Source organism: Homo sapiens, chromosome 13, assembly GCF_000001405.40.
Source record: "Homo sapiens chromosome 13, GRCh38.p14 Primary Assembly".
In the NCBI taxonomy this organism is placed as follows: domain Eukaryota; kingdom Metazoa; phylum Chordata; class Mammalia; order Primates; family Hominidae; genus Homo; species Homo sapiens.
Genome location: NC_000013.11, coordinates 73,702,417 through 73,720,549, shown reverse-complemented (window position 1 = coordinate 73,720,549; position 18,133 = coordinate 73,702,417). Strand labels below are relative to the sequence as shown.

At 38.5% G+C, this 18,133-nt stretch overlaps 1 protein-coding gene across 20 annotated transcripts in view, besides 1 other annotated feature; it reads left to right on the top strand.

The window, feature by feature from the left end:
- KLF12 (KLF transcription factor 12) overlaps positions 1-18,133 on the top strand; it is a 619,957-nt gene that overhangs the window by 585,496 nt on the left and 16,328 nt on the right. For 15 of the 20 annotated variants that reach the window (NM_001400139.1, XM_011534909.3, NM_001400147.1 and 12 more), the window contains one exon: positions 5,025-5,182. The exons of 2 other annotated variants lie outside the window; for them this stretch is intronic. In NM_001400139.1, the coding sequence (NP_001387068.1) occupies positions 5,025-5,182 (158 nt within the window). Of the gene's footprint in view, positions 1-5,024; positions 5,183-16,347; positions 16,433-18,133 lie in introns of all 20 variants that reach the window. 3 more of the 20 variants (XM_047430082.1, NM_001400146.1, XM_011534908.4) reach the window with 1 other exon arrangement.
- Positions 4,422-5,621: an enhancer, noted in NCBI's record as "BRD4-independent group 4 enhancer chr13:74289066-74290265 (GRCh37/hg19 assembly coordinates)". NCBI's record gives its function as "activates an origin of replication core promoter dependent on BRD2, P300/CBP, MED14 and CDK7 cofactors, and independent of BRD4, by STARR-seq in HCT116 cells {active_cell/tissue: HCT116}" and the evidence as "EXISTENCE:reporter gene assay evidence [ECO:0000049][PMID:35650434]".

The following is an 18,133-nucleotide window of genomic DNA, read 5'->3' as shown; positions in this document are numbered from 1 at the left end:
GGGGAAAGAAGTGGGCCTTTAGTTATTATTCTTTGGGGCTGTACAGATATATTTAGTACGGGATTTGGGAACACAGTTACAAGTGTTTTACCTCTACCATTTTCATCATACCAAGCTTATTACTAATGATTATGCAAAGAATGCTCTACTGGTGTATGCAGTAGTTACTTGCACATTCCCATTCTTTATAAAAAGGCCAGTTTTTGAAGCACAGAAGTCAGGTTGCATATACCTGTGAGGATTCTTCAGGTGCCTTCTGAACAAAGGGCATGTTGCTCAGAAAGCATAGGTAAGGCAGAGTGAAAACACCCAGCTGTTCTGTTACCTAACACCCCTTCTTATGGACAGCCCTCGAGTGAGATGGGGCAAGATAATATTGCCAGGAGTAAGGGTCTTTCTCTCACTTTTTCCAGCTTATCTAAATGCCTGTTAGGGTCAAAAGAAAGACTTTTGTTATTTCATTCACCAGCATCCTACACATTTATCGGTGGCCTCCCACTGAGAAATTTAATTGTAAGCAATACTTTAGAACACACTGCTCTTGAACTTAGAGGAAATAATTGAGACATTTATATCTATGTGTTTTTAATGGTTACCCAGATTCCCAGATATTCACTAGCCACTTTGTGTAGCATTGAAAATATGAAACTTGGCCGGGCATGGTGGTTTATGTCTGTAATCCCAGCACTTTGGGAGACTGAGGCAGGATCACGTGAAGCCAGGAGTTCAAGATAAGCCTGGGCAACATAACAAAACCCCGTCTCCACAAAAAATTAAAACGTTAGCCAGGCATGGTGGCATGTACCTGTAATCCTAGCTACTCAGGAGGCTGAGGGGGAGGATCACTAGAGTCCAGGAGTTCAAGATTACAGTGAGCTATGATCGTGCCACCTAGGCCACCAGTCTAGATGACAGAGCAAGACCCTATCTCAAAAAAAAAAAGCAACTCGGGGAAATGGGCGTAGGAGTGTGGAATTGAGTGCCCATTGTCTGAAGACTTGGAATCAAAGTATCCTGGTAAGAATTAACCAATTAAGAATTAATAAATTACTTATAAAATTAAAAATCAGGAATACCAGGCTTAATGCATTCATTTATTCTATTTAGCAAACTTTTTTTTTTTTTTGAATGCCCACAATGTCCTAGGTTCTGGAAATACAAAATTACTTGGTACCAGTAACTCGACTGTCACCTTTCCAGCCATGGACTTGGTTCAGACAAACCCCCAGTCCACGGTTGTCGTCCACTTGCAGTGCCCGCCGACTGTGGATATATGCTGGGGATCCCAACACAACGCAGCACTCTTGGAGCTTGGACTGTCCTATCACCTTCCTGTGTTCTTCAGGTTCTTCTGCACTTCTGGTTCCCTGTTACCTCAGCTTCACTTACCTTCCTACCTTTCCACAAAAAGATCAAATCAGCAGTTCTGAAAGGCATAGGCTTAGCCAAGGATTCTTTGACATCTGAAGATATCTCTGCCATTTAGAAAGGGGAACCAAGGAGAAAATCTACCCATTGAATGTCATTTGAAAGCCAGCTTTACTGGGTACAACTATTCATTGCGTATATCCTTTTAAAAAATTATTTTTATTGTACAGATACCTTTAGGTATTTGTTCTTTATAATGTTCTAAAACATTTCAGTTAACTCTTTTTTTGAGACAGGTCTCGCTCTTTCACCCAGATTGGAGTGCAGTGGCATGATCTTGGCTCACTGCAACCTCCACCTCCCCAGCCTAAGCAATCCTCTCACCTCAGCCTCCCAAGTAGCTGGGACTACAGGCACATGCCACCACGCCCAGCTAATTTTTGTATGTTTTTGTAGAGACAGGGTTTCACCATGTTGCCCTGGCTGGTCTTGAACTCCTGAGCTCAAGGGATCTACCTACATCAGCTTCACAAAGTGCTGGGATTACTGGTGTGAGCCACCACGTCCAGCTAATTTTTGTGTGTTTTGGTAGAGACGGAGTTTCACCATGTTGGCCCAGGCTGGTCTTGAGCTTCTGAGCTAAGCGATCCACCTGTGTCAGCTTCCCTACGTGCTGGGATTACAGGCATGAGCCACCACACCTGGCCCACGTTTCACTGTAGAATGAGGAAAACCAGGGCTGAGGTCCTATAGACAATCCACTTGTCTTCATTTTGATGTAAATTCAGAACTCACAGTGAAGCAATTTCATGGCCTTCTGTAGCCTTTGTTTTTGTTTCTCTGCCTGCCCTATATTTAAGTGGTTGATGGGCTGTGTTGCCCGATTACTTCATTGGTCCCTAAAGAAACATTCATTATTGACTGAATTCTGATTTCAGGGTTTTTTTGGTTGGCTTTTCTTTTTTTTACGTTTCTCCTTATATACAGATAGCAAGATAAATAGCTAAAATCAATGGAACTCAGCAAAAACCTGTATGTGTGTGTTTATGCATAGTTACATTTAGACTTCTTTATATTCATGTGTGGAAAATATTACACAAAACAAAGTGTTCTTATAGACTTTAAGTTATAACTTGCAGAAAACAAATACTCTATCATTTTCTCACTTTTAAAAGATGTTAAACATTGTACAACACTATGAATGACTTCCTTTTTTTCAGGAAATAAAAGGAAGTGCCAAGATCAATATTTATTTTCATAACTACATATTCCAGAAATGAATTACTGTTGCTCTGTTATCACCACACAGTCTTACTTGTTCATGGGACTCAAACCCAGTGATAAAAATATACCTTGTCAGGAGTAACTACAGCTGTTCTTACATGAGGCAGGCCAGTCACACTGTTTTGACTCCTTTCACGATAGACTCCGATCCCTGCAACTGTGAGTCAATTATGTGGAAAACCACAGATCCACATTGATAAGAAAGCTGAAAAAAGTGGCTTGGCCATACATAACATATGTTCTTTCATTCTACTGTGGTAGATCTTGCATAAAACTGTTTGAGACACAGGTAGATAAATGTTGTTTATATTTGACCTTACCTAACAGAAAGCTTTGTTTGCCTAATTTATTAGTAAAAGGGAGAAGGTACACTGAAATCTGAAGACACGTGTGCAGAAAGAGACTTTCAGAAAAAATTCACTGGAGCAATATGAAAGTGCAAATTACAAGTAGTCTATATGTCCGTCACTTGGGAAATGGCAATGAATATTCACTGGACTCCTGCCATGTTTCATCTAATTCCATAGTTGGCAAGCTACAGCTCAAGGACAGAATACAGCCCACTGTTTTTTGGTTTGTTTATTTGTTTTGTAGAGATAGGGTCTCTCCTTCTTGCCTAGGTTGGTCTCAGATTCTTGGGCTCAAGCAGTTCTCCTGCCTCAGCTTCCCAAAGTGCTGGGATTACAGGCTTGAGCCACTGTGCCTGGCCAGCCCACTGTTTCTGTAAACAAAGTTTCATTGGAACATAACGACATTCATTTGTTTATATATAATCTATAGCTGCTTTCATGATACAGTTGCAGAATTGATTAGCTACAACATAAGACTGTGTGGCCCTCGGTGTTGAAATAAAATATTTACTATCTAGCCCTTTACAGCAAAAGTTCACTGACCCCCGATCTAAGTTAAAATGTCTTCAATTGTAAAATGCACCGTTACTTTATGTACCACTAATAAAAAAAGTTATGCCAGTAAAACTGTAATAAGCCATCAATTTTAAGAAGCATTCTGATTTTGGAGATGGTTAAAATATTTTAAAAATAGATCTTAAAATTGGTAAGTTATAAGTATATAGCACTTCAAATAAATGAATTATGGCATTTATATCGACATGGATGAATCTCAAATGTTAAATGTTGAATTAAAAAAAGGAATAAAACAATTTGCAGAATGATATAAACAGCATGATATTATTCATATGACTTAAAAAACACACAAAAAAAATGAATGTCTGTAAATGCAGATTTGTATAGGTAGACATAATTTAAAAGAATTGGAAAGAGGTAAAGAAAACTCAGGATAGAGGCTCTTCCCTGGAAGGAGGAGAAAGGACCAGGATAATGGTGGAAAACAAGGGGGGAATTGATCTTTATCAGTAATGTTCAACTTTTAAAAGAGGTGATTTACCAATAAAAACTAATTTTTAAAAGCATCAAAATGTGAACAAGCTGGAAGAAAATATGTCAAAATATTAACTGTAGTACATTTTGTAGAGTAGAAATATGAGTGACTGCTTTTTTATCATATCTCACTGTAATTTTAAAGAATGTCATGGTACTAAAAAAGATGAGTCATATTATTTCTGTCTCAATCAAAAGAGATTAAGATTTTTTTAAGTACATGTTAGTCAATTACCTGACATTATAAACTAATCCTGTTTTTCTACTGGGGCATTCAGATTAAACAATATGCAAGTTAGGGCCAAATTTCTTAGTTAAAACTTTTTTTTATAATGGTGGTACAGCTAATCTTTAAAGACAATGCACGTTATTCCTCACCACAAAGAAACTCCAACTAGAAAAGTTAAATGTCAGGTGCGTTTCACCAAACAGAAATAGCTTGTCATGATTCATGTTACTGATGTCATTTCTTTCAGCCTGACTCCCTTGTTTAGAAATGTACCTTGTGATTTTACAGGAGTTTCTATGTTGTCACATGCAGTGCAGACCCTCTTGTTACTTATTAAATGTATCATTTTGTCATTTGTCTATAGCAAGCCTTCTTAAAATATTCTCTATCAGGATATTCAGAAATTCAAAACTGTGAGATGGTAATTTACCCCTACCAGATTGTTTCTTCTGATAATGAGGAAATACTCACCTACCACTGCTTTCATTTACTTTCAGTTTTTGTTATTGTTGTTTGAAGCATGTCTTTCTCTCCCTTGGAGTGTTTTGCCGGAAATAACTCATGCTGCCTGCCTTTCAGGTTTCGAAAAGTGAGATCTGCCCAAGATAGTGGTAGCAAGAACTGTGGTCATGGTGGCCTTGAGTCTGTGAAGCTGTAGTGTCTGAGACAATGTTCCCATGCCACCAGAACCAAAATGGGGCGGTGTGCATCTCACCGTGTAACTCCACTTTTTCTTTTTCCAGTTCAATTTCACCATTTAGTATTGAGAGCACAAGACGCCAGAGACGGTCTGAATCCCCAGACTCCAGAAAACGGCGTATCCACAGATGTGATTTTGAGGGATGCAACAAAGTGTACACAAAAAGTTCTCACCTGAAGGCTCACCGGAGGACACATACAGGTACCGCTCTGCAGGGCTTCTCACCTGTGAGCCAGTGAGAGTCCATAAAGCGCCGGCCACTTACCTCGGGAGCCTTTCGTACTCATTCATCCTGTGTACCTCTCAAGTCCAGTTCCCTCCTTCTAGGCGGAATGTATTCTCTCTCTCTTGAGAAAGAGAGAAACTTGAGAAACCAGTGAAGTATTTGAGCTTTTAAAATGTTGGGAACATAGTGATCTAGTAGTCTTTCTCACAGTCAGCATCACCACTTAATCATTATATAGGCTATCAGTTTTAAAAAATGTCCACGTGGCACATCAAAGAAGAAGCTGAACACAATTATTCTCTCTCTTAAAGTTAGTATTTTATCCATTCCTTTAGATTATGCTTTTTGCTCTCCTCAAAACTCTCTCCCAAATAGCAAATAGGTAAACAACTGAAAAATAAAAAATGACAGATACGTAGCATTGTGGGAAGTTTTTACAAACATTCAGGCATAACTCCAGTTGATTCACACTGGTATTTTTTTTATATAGGGAGAGGAGTTTTAGTATTGACAGTTTACAGAAAAGGAAATTGATACCACAATTGACTCACTGCCTTTGCCACTGTTCCCCCATCCATCTAGGAAATGAACTGGTGACTCTGCACTTAGCCCCTGCCCACCCCATCCTCTGCCTTCTGTGTCCCTCAGCTGGCATCCTCTGGCTTCCTGAGCTTCCAGTTCCTCCAGGATGCCTCCAGTGCAAGGCCCTGGCAAGAGACTGAAGATAGGAAGAGGGCCCCACAGTTCCACCACTTCTTCTAAGAAGAGTGGTGACTGGACTGCGTGAAGCCCAAAGAAGCCGATAGAGCAGGGAAATTCATTCACACATTCCCGGTAAAACATGGCTCACAGCAAGCAAGTCCAGTCCAGCGTCTTTCCTTGACAGCATCTGCCACTGACTGGAAGCTTCACATGTAACAGATTCCCATCTCAGACATGTGAAAAGAACTGTACTCTGTAAACTGCCTCCCAGCTTAGGTATCAAAATAATTGAAATTAGCATCATTTTCCATTTAGCCCATGTTCTCTCTCTGCTCCCTGTTCTTTTCCCTTTCCTACTTAATTAGAGACAGGGTCTCACTATGTTGGCCAGGCTGGTCTTGAACTCCTGGGCTCAAGTGGTCCTTCCACCTTGGCCTTTCAGAGTTCTGGGATTACAGGTGTGAGCCACTGCACCCAGCCTCTCTTTTCTACTTATTCTAGATTCTTCCTTTTCTACGATTCTGAGCTTCCCAAAGAGAGGTTTTTATCTGTTTCTTAGGCTCTATTTTTAAGTCAGTTCCTTTATCATTAAGGCAAAGAATGAGTGTGAAGACATGGAAATTGAGTAAGTATATTCCATCCTACCAGTAGATAGTGAACACAGATCATGGCAGGAAGTATGATTAGACCATATTACTGACTTTATAGGAGCATTTCTGTTTTTAAAAAAATGACTTTCTACAATGAATCATCACATATTTTGAGTTATTCCTATTCTCTTTGAGTTTTCTGGAATACATATTAGCCTCATTTTCACACAGACACCTCCACTCCTCTTACCCAAGTGATGAACAGTGAAAGAGAGGAAAATTTTTAATCAGGTACTATTAAAGGATTTAACTCCATGGCAGTATAGGATTGCATCTTACAGATTCTAACATACACCATGAGAGCAGAGGAGACATCATTTATGCATTGTAATTCAAAACAATCTGAACCTTGAATGCTATGCTGAAGCAGAATTGATTAGCTTGGCTATTAATACAATGAAATCACAGACTCTAAGGGTCAGAATGGACTTTATATGTTACAGTCTAGTGTTTCCTAATTCGGGGAACCCCTTGCGTGTCATATTTCGCAGAGAGCAAGTCACTGCTGTGCAGTTTTCTGCATACTTATGTGTATTTTAAAAAATTTGTTATTAACAACCAGATGGTTGTAGCTGTTATTATCTCTTTGGCACTTCTGGCTGACTATTGTTCCCACATTAGTAGTTTAACCAACTCTCCTTAAATGCTCTGAGTGGCCGCATATTCTTCTGCAACACAATCTGAAGACAGAGTTCTCCTCTCTTACAATGTCCAGTAGCCTCTTACGGTGCTGTTTAGGTCTTGGAACCTTCTGGTTGAACAGAATGGCTCTAATGATAATGCTATAATTTTCACTCACTGGCCCCGGTGTTCCTCTCAACACTGTCATGAACCAACTAACATCTTAATTCTCCAAATCAAACACCTCCAGTTTTCTCAGCCGTGTCTTTGTAGATACACTCCAACTGATCACTGTGTCTTTTTAAGTTTTCATACCACAAATTGAGGGAACATATCCTGTGAATGGACTTCTCTTAATACAGGCGTACCTCAAAGATCCTGTGGGTTCAGTTCCCGACATCCCAATAAAGTAAATATCACAAGAAAGGAAGTCACACAATTTTTTTGTTTCCCTATTACATTTAAAAGTTGTGTTTACACTATACTCAAGTGTGCAATAGCATTGTCTAAAAAAAGTACATAATTAAAAAGCACTTCATTGCTCACAAGTACTAACAGTCATCTGAGCCTTTAGAGTCGTAATCTTTTGACTAGTGGAGGGTCTTGCCTCTGTGTTGATGGCTGCTGACTGATCAGGGTGATAGTTGCTAAAGGTTGGAGTGGATGTGGAAATTTCTTAAGACAGCAATAAAGTTTGCCACATCAGTGGACTCTTATTTCATAGAAGATTTCCCTGTAGCCTGTGGTGCTGTTTCATAACATTTTACCCACCATAGAACTTCTTTCTAAATTGCAGTCAATCTTCTGATGCTGCTTTATCAACTAAGTTTATAAAATCTTCTAAATCCTTCATTGTAATTTGGACAGTGTTGACAGCATCTTCACTGGGAATACATTCCATTTCAAGAATCACTTTTTTTGCGCATCCGTAAGAAGCAGTTCCTCATTCATTCAAGTTTTATCATGAGATTGCAGGAATTCAGTCACATCTTGAGTCCACTTCTAATCCTTTTTTTTTTTTTTTTTTTTTTGACATGGAGTTTCGCTCTTGTTACCCAGGCTGGAGTGCAATGGCGCAATCTCGGCTTACCTCAGCCTCCGCCTCCCAGTTTCAAGTGAGTCTCCTGCCTCAGCCTCCCAAGTAGCTGGGATTACAGGCATGTGCCACCATGCCTGGCTAGTTTTGTATTTTTAGTAGAGACAGGGTTTCTTCATGTTGGTCAGGCTGGTCTCGAACTCCCGACCTCAGGTGATCTGCCCACCTCAGCCTCCCAAAGTGCTGGGATTACAGGCGTGAGCCACCGCGCCCGGCTCCACTTCTAGTTGTAATTCTCCTGCTGTTTCCACCACATCTGCAATTCCTTTCTCCATGGAAGCCCTGAATCCCTCAAAGTCATCGATGAGGATTGAATGAACTACTTCCACATTCCTGTTCATGTTGATTTTTGACTTATCATGAATCACAAATGTTCCTAATGGCATCTAGAATGGTGAATCCTCTCCAGGGGTTTTTAAATTTAATTTGCCTGGATTCACAAGAGGAATCACTAGCTATGGAGCTATAGTCTTACGAAATGTATTTCTTAAATGATAAGACTTAAAAGTCAAAATGACTCCTTGATCCGTGGGCTGAAGAATGCATGTTGTGTTAGCAGGCAGAAAAACATCCATCTCCTTGTACATCTCATCAGAGCTCTAGGGTGACCAGGTGCATTGTCAGTGAGCAGTAATATTTCTCAAGGAATCTTTTTTTCTGAGCAGTAGGCCTCAACAGTGGGCTTAAAACATTCAGTAAACCATGCTGTAAAATCCAAGCTTTGTTGTTACATTTATACAGCACAAGCAGATTTAGCATTAGATTTAGCATAATTCTTTAAGGGCCCTAGGATTTTCAGAATAGTATATGAGCCTTGGCTTCAGCTGAAGGTTACTGTCTCCATTAGTCCCTAACAAGAGTCCATCTGTCCTTTGAAGCTTTAAAGCTAGGCATTGACTTCTCCTCTCTAGCTCAGAAAGTCCTACATGACATCTTTCAATAGGAGGGTATATCATCTACATTGAAAATCTGTAGTTTAGTATGGCTGCCTTCATCAGTGATCTTAGCTAGATCTTCTGGATACCTTGCTGCAGCTTCTACATCAGCACTTGCTGCTACAACTTGCACTTATATGTTATGGAGACAGCTTCTGTCCTTAAACCTCATGAACCAACCTCCGCTAGCTTCCAACTTTCCTTCTGCAGCTTTCTTACCTCTCTCAGCCGTGAAGAACTGAAGAGTGGCCCTTGCTCTGGATTAGGCTTTAGCTTTGGGGGATATTGTAACTGGTTTGATCTTCTATCCAGACCACTCAAACTTTCTCCAAATCAGCGATAAGGCTGTTTTGCTTTCTTATCATTTGTGTGTTAACTGGAATAACATTTTAATTTCCTTCTGGAACTTTTCCTTTGCTTTCATAGCTTGGCTAACTGGCTCAAGAGGCCTAGCTTCCAGCCCATCTCAGCTTTCGAAGTGCCTGACTCGCTAAGCATAATCATTTATAGCTTTTGATTTAAAGTGAAAGATGTATGACTTTTCCTTTCACTTGAACACTTAGGGTTACTAACTGGCCTAATTTCAATATTGTTGTGTCTCAAGGAATAGGGGGGCTCAAGAAGAGGGAGTAAGATGGGGTAGCAGCTGGTCAGTGATGCAGTCACAACACACACAACATTTATCCATTAAGTTTGCCGTCTTGGGTACAGTTCATCGAACCCAAAACAATTACAGTAGAAACATCAAAGGTCACTGATCACAGATCACCATACAAAATATAATAATAATTTAAAAGTTTGAAATATTGTGACAATTACCCAAGTATCACACAAAGATGCAAAGTGAGCACATGCTCTTGGGAAAATGGCGCCAGTAAACTTGCCTGACATAGGATTGCCACAAAACTTGAATTTGTAAACACACACACACACACACACACACACACACACACACACACAGACAATATCTTCGAAATGCAATAAAGTGAAGTGCAGGAAAATAAGATATGCCTGTATATGCAAAAATGGTGTTAAGTTTTTTTTAGCAGTTTACTCTATTGGGTTATCTAAATCAAAAACTGCTAACAACTGTATCTTGTCTATCCCTTGTACCTATAATAGATTTCTTTTAAACCTAAACATGCCATGTTGTATGTGTGGTTGGAGCTGTCCCTTAATGATGGCTTTGCTTGGAAGTAGTGTGTTCCCTATCACTGAAAGTGTTGAGGCACAGGCTGGAAATACAGGACAGAATCATTATTCTGAGGTTGCACATACTTTTTCAAGTCTAAGAAATAATTATTCTATATTCATTTTCTTGATTTGGGCCCATTATTCTAATAAATTGAAATGACTTGAAAGTTCTCCCTACCCACTTTGCTTTCATTATTTTTGCTGTCTGTTTCAGCTTCTTCATCTGTGCCAGGTAATTGATGAATGTATTGAATGGGATGCGTTCAAGGAAAAAACCCTAAGACATGATCCGAGAGGCCTCCATTCAGATAGGTCTTAATTCTTTAAACAGTAGCCAGAATCCACCTAGCTCTCCTGTTTCCAGCTCACATTTCTCTGCCTCACAGTTAAATCTAAATGTCCTTGTGAAATACCTGCCCAAAACCAAGATATGTCAAATCCATTCATCCACTTAGCAGAGAGATAGTTACTATGTGCAGTCATGGCTTCCTTGAACTATTATCAGTCAAATAACATTATTTTTAGAAAGAAAAAAAGTGAAATTTGGTTGATTTTTCTGTAACTAGTTCAAAATGAGCCCATCCTGACTTCTGATTTATAATTATGTATAAGATTTTGTAACAGTGTTCAAAATGAAATCAAAACTATTTCTATAGGGAATCAGGTTGGTTTGCATGCTCTTAGTAAACATCTTCTTAGCCTTACCTTTGCTTCAGGCATATTGAGTAAGTTACTTGTGTGTGACCAACAATTAATTTGGAATTTGGGATTATACCAGTTGACTTACGAGAGCCATGCACGCTATGGGAGGGGAGTAAGTATCAGTGAGAAACTTGCTTTGAGAAAGTTAATTTTGCCTTTAATGCTTCATCTTTTTGTACCATATAAGTACCTGATCAGTCATCTTTTTATTTACAACTTAGTAACTTAAACATATTTGTAGGTATTTGAAAGAGGTACATTTTCTAGATATTAGCAAAGAATTTAGAATAGAAAAAGAAATGCTGAGGAGTGCCTTTCTAAATTAAAAATAAGTATATTTTCATGAGTGTACAGTTTAGATAATAACACGAAGATGTGACCAAGTATTTTTGAATGAGTTTATTAATGCCTGCTTGTGCTTAATCATTTAAGGCATGTCAAAAAAAGGAAAAAATATATCTCAGCCATCACATACACATTATTGTCAGCAGGTTAATTATTTATATCCACTGTCTAAATTGTGGGTCTCTGTACATGAAGCAGTTTACAGAGTATTTAAATAAATATGCATATTCACAAATAAATATTAGTACTTAAATGAGTATGCATTGCCATTTAAATTAATATGGTCATTTAAATATGTGCTATACAAAACAATTATGCACTATGGATTCCCTCACGTTAAGAGTTCTATTGCTTATTAACTGATTTGCATTTGAATTTTAGAAGAAAATAATTTTGTGAATTTGGTTTTGCCTTTTAGAATTCTCACTATTTTCTAAAAAATAAATGCTCTAGTAATTTCTACAATGCAGTAAAAGCAAGTAACATTCAGGCATCAGTGATTCCTACAGCCACTAGATGGTGCACCAGAACCAGATGTTGGGTCTAGTCTAGAAGAGGGTCTGAAGAGAAACTAGAACTCTAACAGTATGTATGACATGACATTAAAATGGAACAATGACACTGACATTATCAGTGTTCTGCAGAATATTACAATTTAATGATGAATTTTTTAAAAGGCAAAATAAAGATAAAATCAAATTTTTTTTGCAAAGGAATTACAATATGTAAAAATAGTCTGTTCAAATGAATCTGGAAATATTTTCTATCCCCAATTGACATACTGTTCTCTGATAAATTTGTGAGGCCCAGTAGGTAATCCTGTATAATATTCATTTTAATTCATATGAAAGCCATACACCTCTAACCTTAAAAATTAGTAAACTTAAGGTAGTCACATTTCTTAGGAATTATTCATATCTGAATTTTGTACATTAAGGAAGTTTATTCATATAGACACTTAAAAATATTAAGCAATTCTGATTTAATGGTTTCCAGAGTATGATCTTCCCTACCTTTATGAAACCACACATTATTTAATAATTTTTCTCTTGATGAATGAAGTCTCTGTAATTAATATCAAATACTATTACATGTTTATTCCATTAATTATATTTGATTACATATTTGGAATGCACACACACATATGTACACACGCCCCTCCACACATAGCGATCCTAAATGATTGCAGATTCTGTCTTTTCTCACTTTCTTACTTGCCTCATCATTTCTTGCTGCTATTCCAGTATTTCTTGCTTCTAATTTGAATCTTCATCTTCATTTACTGGATGAGATTCTGAAGTGGTTTGAGGATATTCCTACAAAGAAAATCAGGGGCTTTGTGACAGCTGTGCATCCTGGTGGCCTTTTGTTCGCAGGTGCTTGTGGTTGCTAGATCTTAACTTCAGACGAGTGAGTGCTGCTGTTCATGACTTCACATCTGTATTCATTAATTAAATAGCTCATTCCACATAAAGCTCCATTTCAGACCCCCCCATCTAGGTTCCTTGTTAGATAAAGCATAGTGCTTAGTGATGCCAAGATAATAAATCATTTAAGAGCACACTGACATTTTTCAAGGAAAAATCCTCTCCCCGTAAGTTGTTTGTAAGTCCTGATCAAATAGCTCATGAATATGAGCTATATTGGTAACTGCTGAGACATTAGAAAATATAATAGAAATATCACCAAACTTGAAGTCCAGAGACAAAAGTTTCAATCTCTTTGGCCCCTAACTTGTTAGTGAACTTAGACAAACTACTTGTGTGAATCTCAGGTTTTCTTTTTTACCTTTGAACACAAACATACCTCTTCGAGTGCTTTACATATACTCATCACACATGTAAATCCCTGGAAAGGAGCAAGGTTAGGGCACGTGGACATGGGCAGGTATTAGGAAAGCAGTAGAGCCAGGATTGAAACTCTGGTTTCTCTCGAGCCTATGCTTTTCCTTATATCTGGTCTCAGACTAGTTTGCTGATAACCTACGAGTCTTCTCTCTTCACTGGAACCGTGCTCCTATGCATGTCTACCCAGCAGTACCTACCTGTTCAGCATCAGCCCTTCAGGGACGGTAAAGTAATGAGAGAGCAAGAGACTTTAATCTGTTTTTAAGGCTTTAATTAACATAGAGTGGTCTTTCTCCATAGTCTACTAAAATTTTGTTAGAAGCCAGTGAGAAGATGTGGACCAAAAGCATTAATCATTAAATAAAATTAAATAGGCTGCTCTTGAGTGCTTGTTTGGCACACAGCTCTTTGAATGTAATGGGTGCTGTGTACAAATGAAGACAGCAAGGAGTCCTAAATCTGGTGGGAGAGACAGCCTCATTCACACATATCCAGCATATAAAATAATACGTAATAGGAAAGCCCTGAGCGAGCTCTATGCAGGTTGCTACAGCAGCACTGAAGGGGTCATTGGTCCTGACTGGGGGGATGCAGCAAGCATCACCTGCCTATGCAGACAAGCATGTTTCAGTGCCACCTCCAACAAGGAAAACAAAAAATTTGGATTGGTAACAAAATGTTTTGCAGGTGTAGCACTTATTTTCATCAATGGGGAAGAGAGTCATTTTAACCTATCATGGAGAGTTACTGTTTAGACACACATGCTTAAGATTTACAATGATTGGAATGTAGGCAACCATTCTGTACATAGTTGAACAAATTTTGTTTTAAAAGTTTTACCTTATTTTTATTTAAAAAACAGTTGATCTTTTTTCCTATATTTAGAAAAGACTTCTAAACCTATCAATTAAAAATAAGTTGATCTTTTTTCCTATATTTAGAAAAGACTTCTAAACCTATCCATTATTACCTCATTTAAATAAATAACTAAATGAGTTGTGTTTCATAATTCTGTTTGTGTTAGCATATAAATTATCAATGACAGTGCAAAGTTAAAGATGCCATTGGTTTTGTTTGTTTGTTTGTTTGTTTGTTTTGAGATGGAGTCTCACTCTGTCGCCAGGCTAGAGGAGTACAGTGGCACGATCTCGGCTCACTGCAACCTCTGCCTCCCAGGTTCAAGTGATTCTCCTGCCTCAGCCTCCCAAGTGGCTGGGACTACAAGTGTGTGCCACCACGCCCAGCTAATTTTTGTATTTTTAATAGAGACGGGGTTTCACCATGTTGGACAGGATGGTCTCGATCTCATGACCTTGTGATCCACCCACCTCTGCTTCCCAAAGTGCTGGGATTACAGGCGTGAGCCACTGCACCCGGCCGCCATGGGATCTTTATCGTGTCTTTGTGACATCATTCTCCTTCCTTTGCTTCTGGCTTCATTTTATCCATACATCCATCAAAGCTGGGTTATATAAAAGGTATGGAATAATAATATCTTCAGTCTTTCTACTTTCTCTCATTCTGCCTAAGAATAACTAGATTTGAGTGTTGGTCATATCCTAAATGGTAAAATTAACTACTAATATAAAATTTGTGGTTTTAATGGAATTATTAAAGACAATAAGGAATTGTATTTTGATAGAACATAGATTCATCATTAAAGAATATATAAAAATAGGATTGGACACATTGGCTTACACCTGTAATCCTAGCTCTTTGGGAGGCTGACGTGGGAGGATCATCTGAGGTCAGGACTTCTAGAACAGCCTGGCCAACATGGCAAAACCCATCTCTACTAAAATTACAAAAATTAGCTGGGCATGGTGGTGTACACCTGTAGTACCAGCTACTCAGGAGTCTGAGGCAAGAGCATCGCTTGAACCTGGGAGGCAGAGGTTGCAGTGAGCTGAGACCATGCCACTGCACTCCAGCCTGGGCGACAGAGCAAGACTCCATCTCAAAATAAATAAATAAATAAAATGTTGATTCATAATGCTTATGATAATTCAATTAAAAATCTCCATAACTAAGAATAATACAATTGTAAGAGATATATTTTAAATGTTAAAATAATGCTCATTTGAGCAACAGAATACAAGGCTCAGTCACACGTTACTAATTTCAGAGGTTTAAAACAAAATATTTGTTTGCAGACTAGAACTGTAAGTGGCACTAGTATTAAATGATACCTCACAAATATATTTTTATTTTCAAAAGTATGTATTCTAATTCATTAGACAAGAAAACATTATAGAATAGATAGAATGTAAACAGTGTACTCTCTTTGTCTCACAAAATAGATTACTCTTATGTTGACCCTCCTATGTTCTATTTTTAAAAGAACAAAGTATTTAAATTAAAGTAGTTTCACTCCTTTGATCAACAAGTCTTTATTAGCACACAGCACTAATGTGTTAGGCCCTGGGGATACAGTGGTAAGAAGGCTCAAAGTCATCCACAGTACGGCACTGCTGAGTCGGCACTGCTGAGTCGGACAGAGAGGAAAACCTTCAATCACAGCGTGGTGTGAAGAGAGTGTCTCAGGGTACTATGGGGCCAACAAGTGGCATGATCAGATTATCTTTCAAAAAGTTTTCTTTCTCTACAGCATGGACAATAAATTGGTGTGCATAGGAGGCAAGACGGAGAAACAGAATCATTAGAAACTGGTCCTGGTAAAAGGTGGAAAGGACCTAAAGCAAGGTAGACCACCACTGTGGGGATAAACTGGGAGGATTGCTGGATAGATTTTAGAAGGCAGAACTGGCAGATGTAATTATCAGAGTGGGGCAGGCAGGGAGTCACACAGAGGGAAGAGTCCAAGAAATCTCTCCAACTGGAGACATTGACGATTTGGTACCTGAGTAGATGGAATTACTGTTTTTCCAGAAAAACCGGAAGAGGAACATGTTTAGGTGGCAAATGCTGAGCAAGTTTTGCTCATATTGAAGATGCTTTCAGACCACCAGTTGGAAATGTCCTGTCTCCCTCTCTGGCGCTTAGGAGAGAGACTGAGGTATAGCTGCTTAGGAGTCTTTTCCCTTATAGGTTGTAGTGGAAGACATATGAGCCAAGAGGAACACCTGCCACGCGAGAAGTTAAGTCAAAATCTTTGGAAACGTTTATGCAACAGGTAAAGGAAGAGGTCTCTGCAAAAGAAACCAAGGAAAAAGTAACCAGTCACATAGGAAAAGAAAGGTCACTACGTAGAAATGAAAACTCAGAACAGCCAAATAAAATATTGTCTTTTGACCTTGAACTTTTTACTTACACTAAAGTTCACTTTTATTATGGGATATTTTAGTTCACTTATATCGGATTTCTGGGTGAGAAGGGCTAGCCTGTGTTTGTTAACACTATTGTCTGTCCTGTGAGTAGTAGCTCACATTTGCAGTCTCCGTGCCCAGTTCTGACCAGATATCCTGGTTTATGACAGCACTAATTTAAAATGTTGAGAGGCAGGGTGAGTGGCAATTGAGACACATGCTAACTGGGTGACGACACTGGGTGAAGTGGGGTTAGTTATTGCAACGACTTCTTTAGGAAGTTATCAAAATTAAATGAGGTAATATCCATAAAGCTCTTAGAGCAAAGTATGGTACATGGAAAGTACTATATGCTTTAGCAAATATAATTTTTATCAACAATACTTATTAGAGAATATGCAGTATTATTTAGAGGAGGAAAGAAGGAACCCACTTGGTCTTCATAATACCTAATGAAAAAGATAGCCAATTAATTCAGTCCAGGCAATTCAGTAGGATGGAGACTGGCATATTGATTACTTATTTGATTGAATTGACAGGACCAAATGGACATTATGGAATAGATTGGTCTGCTTGGCCTATAAAGTACCTTTATACTTTAAAATGTTAAGAAAATCGCATCAGGATTGGCATCTGCTTACCCCAAAACTATAATTAATTGCTGAAAAAATAGCAAACAGGATCCATTTTTAACTTTATATTATTTTTATTTCTTTATAAAAACAGAAATACCCTGAATTTTGTAAATATAAAATATCCTTTATTGAGTGGGTATTATTTGCCAGGTATGTAGTGTGTGTATTTTTGAGTTTCCCAACAGTGCTGCAGGAGTAAATGGCATTCCTGTTTTACAGATGAGGAAACTGGGAAACTTTCAAACTGGGAAGCTTTCAGAAAGCTTAACTTTTTGGCCTTGGATCAATCTCATATAGGTGACTAAGCCTGTATATGGCTGTGTGCTCTTTCAGATTTCAAAACCTGTGGTATTGTATGCTGCCGTAAACTATGAAGAGGTATAGCCGCCTGGTCTGTCTGCAGACAAGTCAGGGGCCTTGTAATCTCAGCTCTTTCCCCGCCTCTAGGTTTCAGTTTCCTCATCTTGAAGGTACCTAATTTCCTTCCAGATCTAGATTCTGTGAACTTTCATGAACTAATGTAACAGAAACCAGAAGACAAGATAGGAATCTTGATTCTTGTTTTTTTCCTCATATGCAAATACCATTCCTCAAGTGAAACAGATTGTCACAGCAAATACGTTGAGCCTTGAATGTAATGAAGCTCATTTGTCAGTGTCTGGGGCCCCGTAACTTTATAAAAGTTAAACAGGGACACGTTTCAGAAATGCACTTCTGAACCTAAGAAAATGCCTGTGCTTCCTGTTGCAAAAGGTGTTCCTTTTCAGTTGCTTGAGAAAATAATAGAGAAGCTGATGAGAACATGGATGTTTTGTTTAACACAGGCTTTTTCAAACTGCACATTCCTCTTATGTGCGTTGCTCACACGTCATTTTAATATGAAAGGGCACCTGTCTTTTGTCTCAGTACACATGTACCTTTCAGCATTTCAGA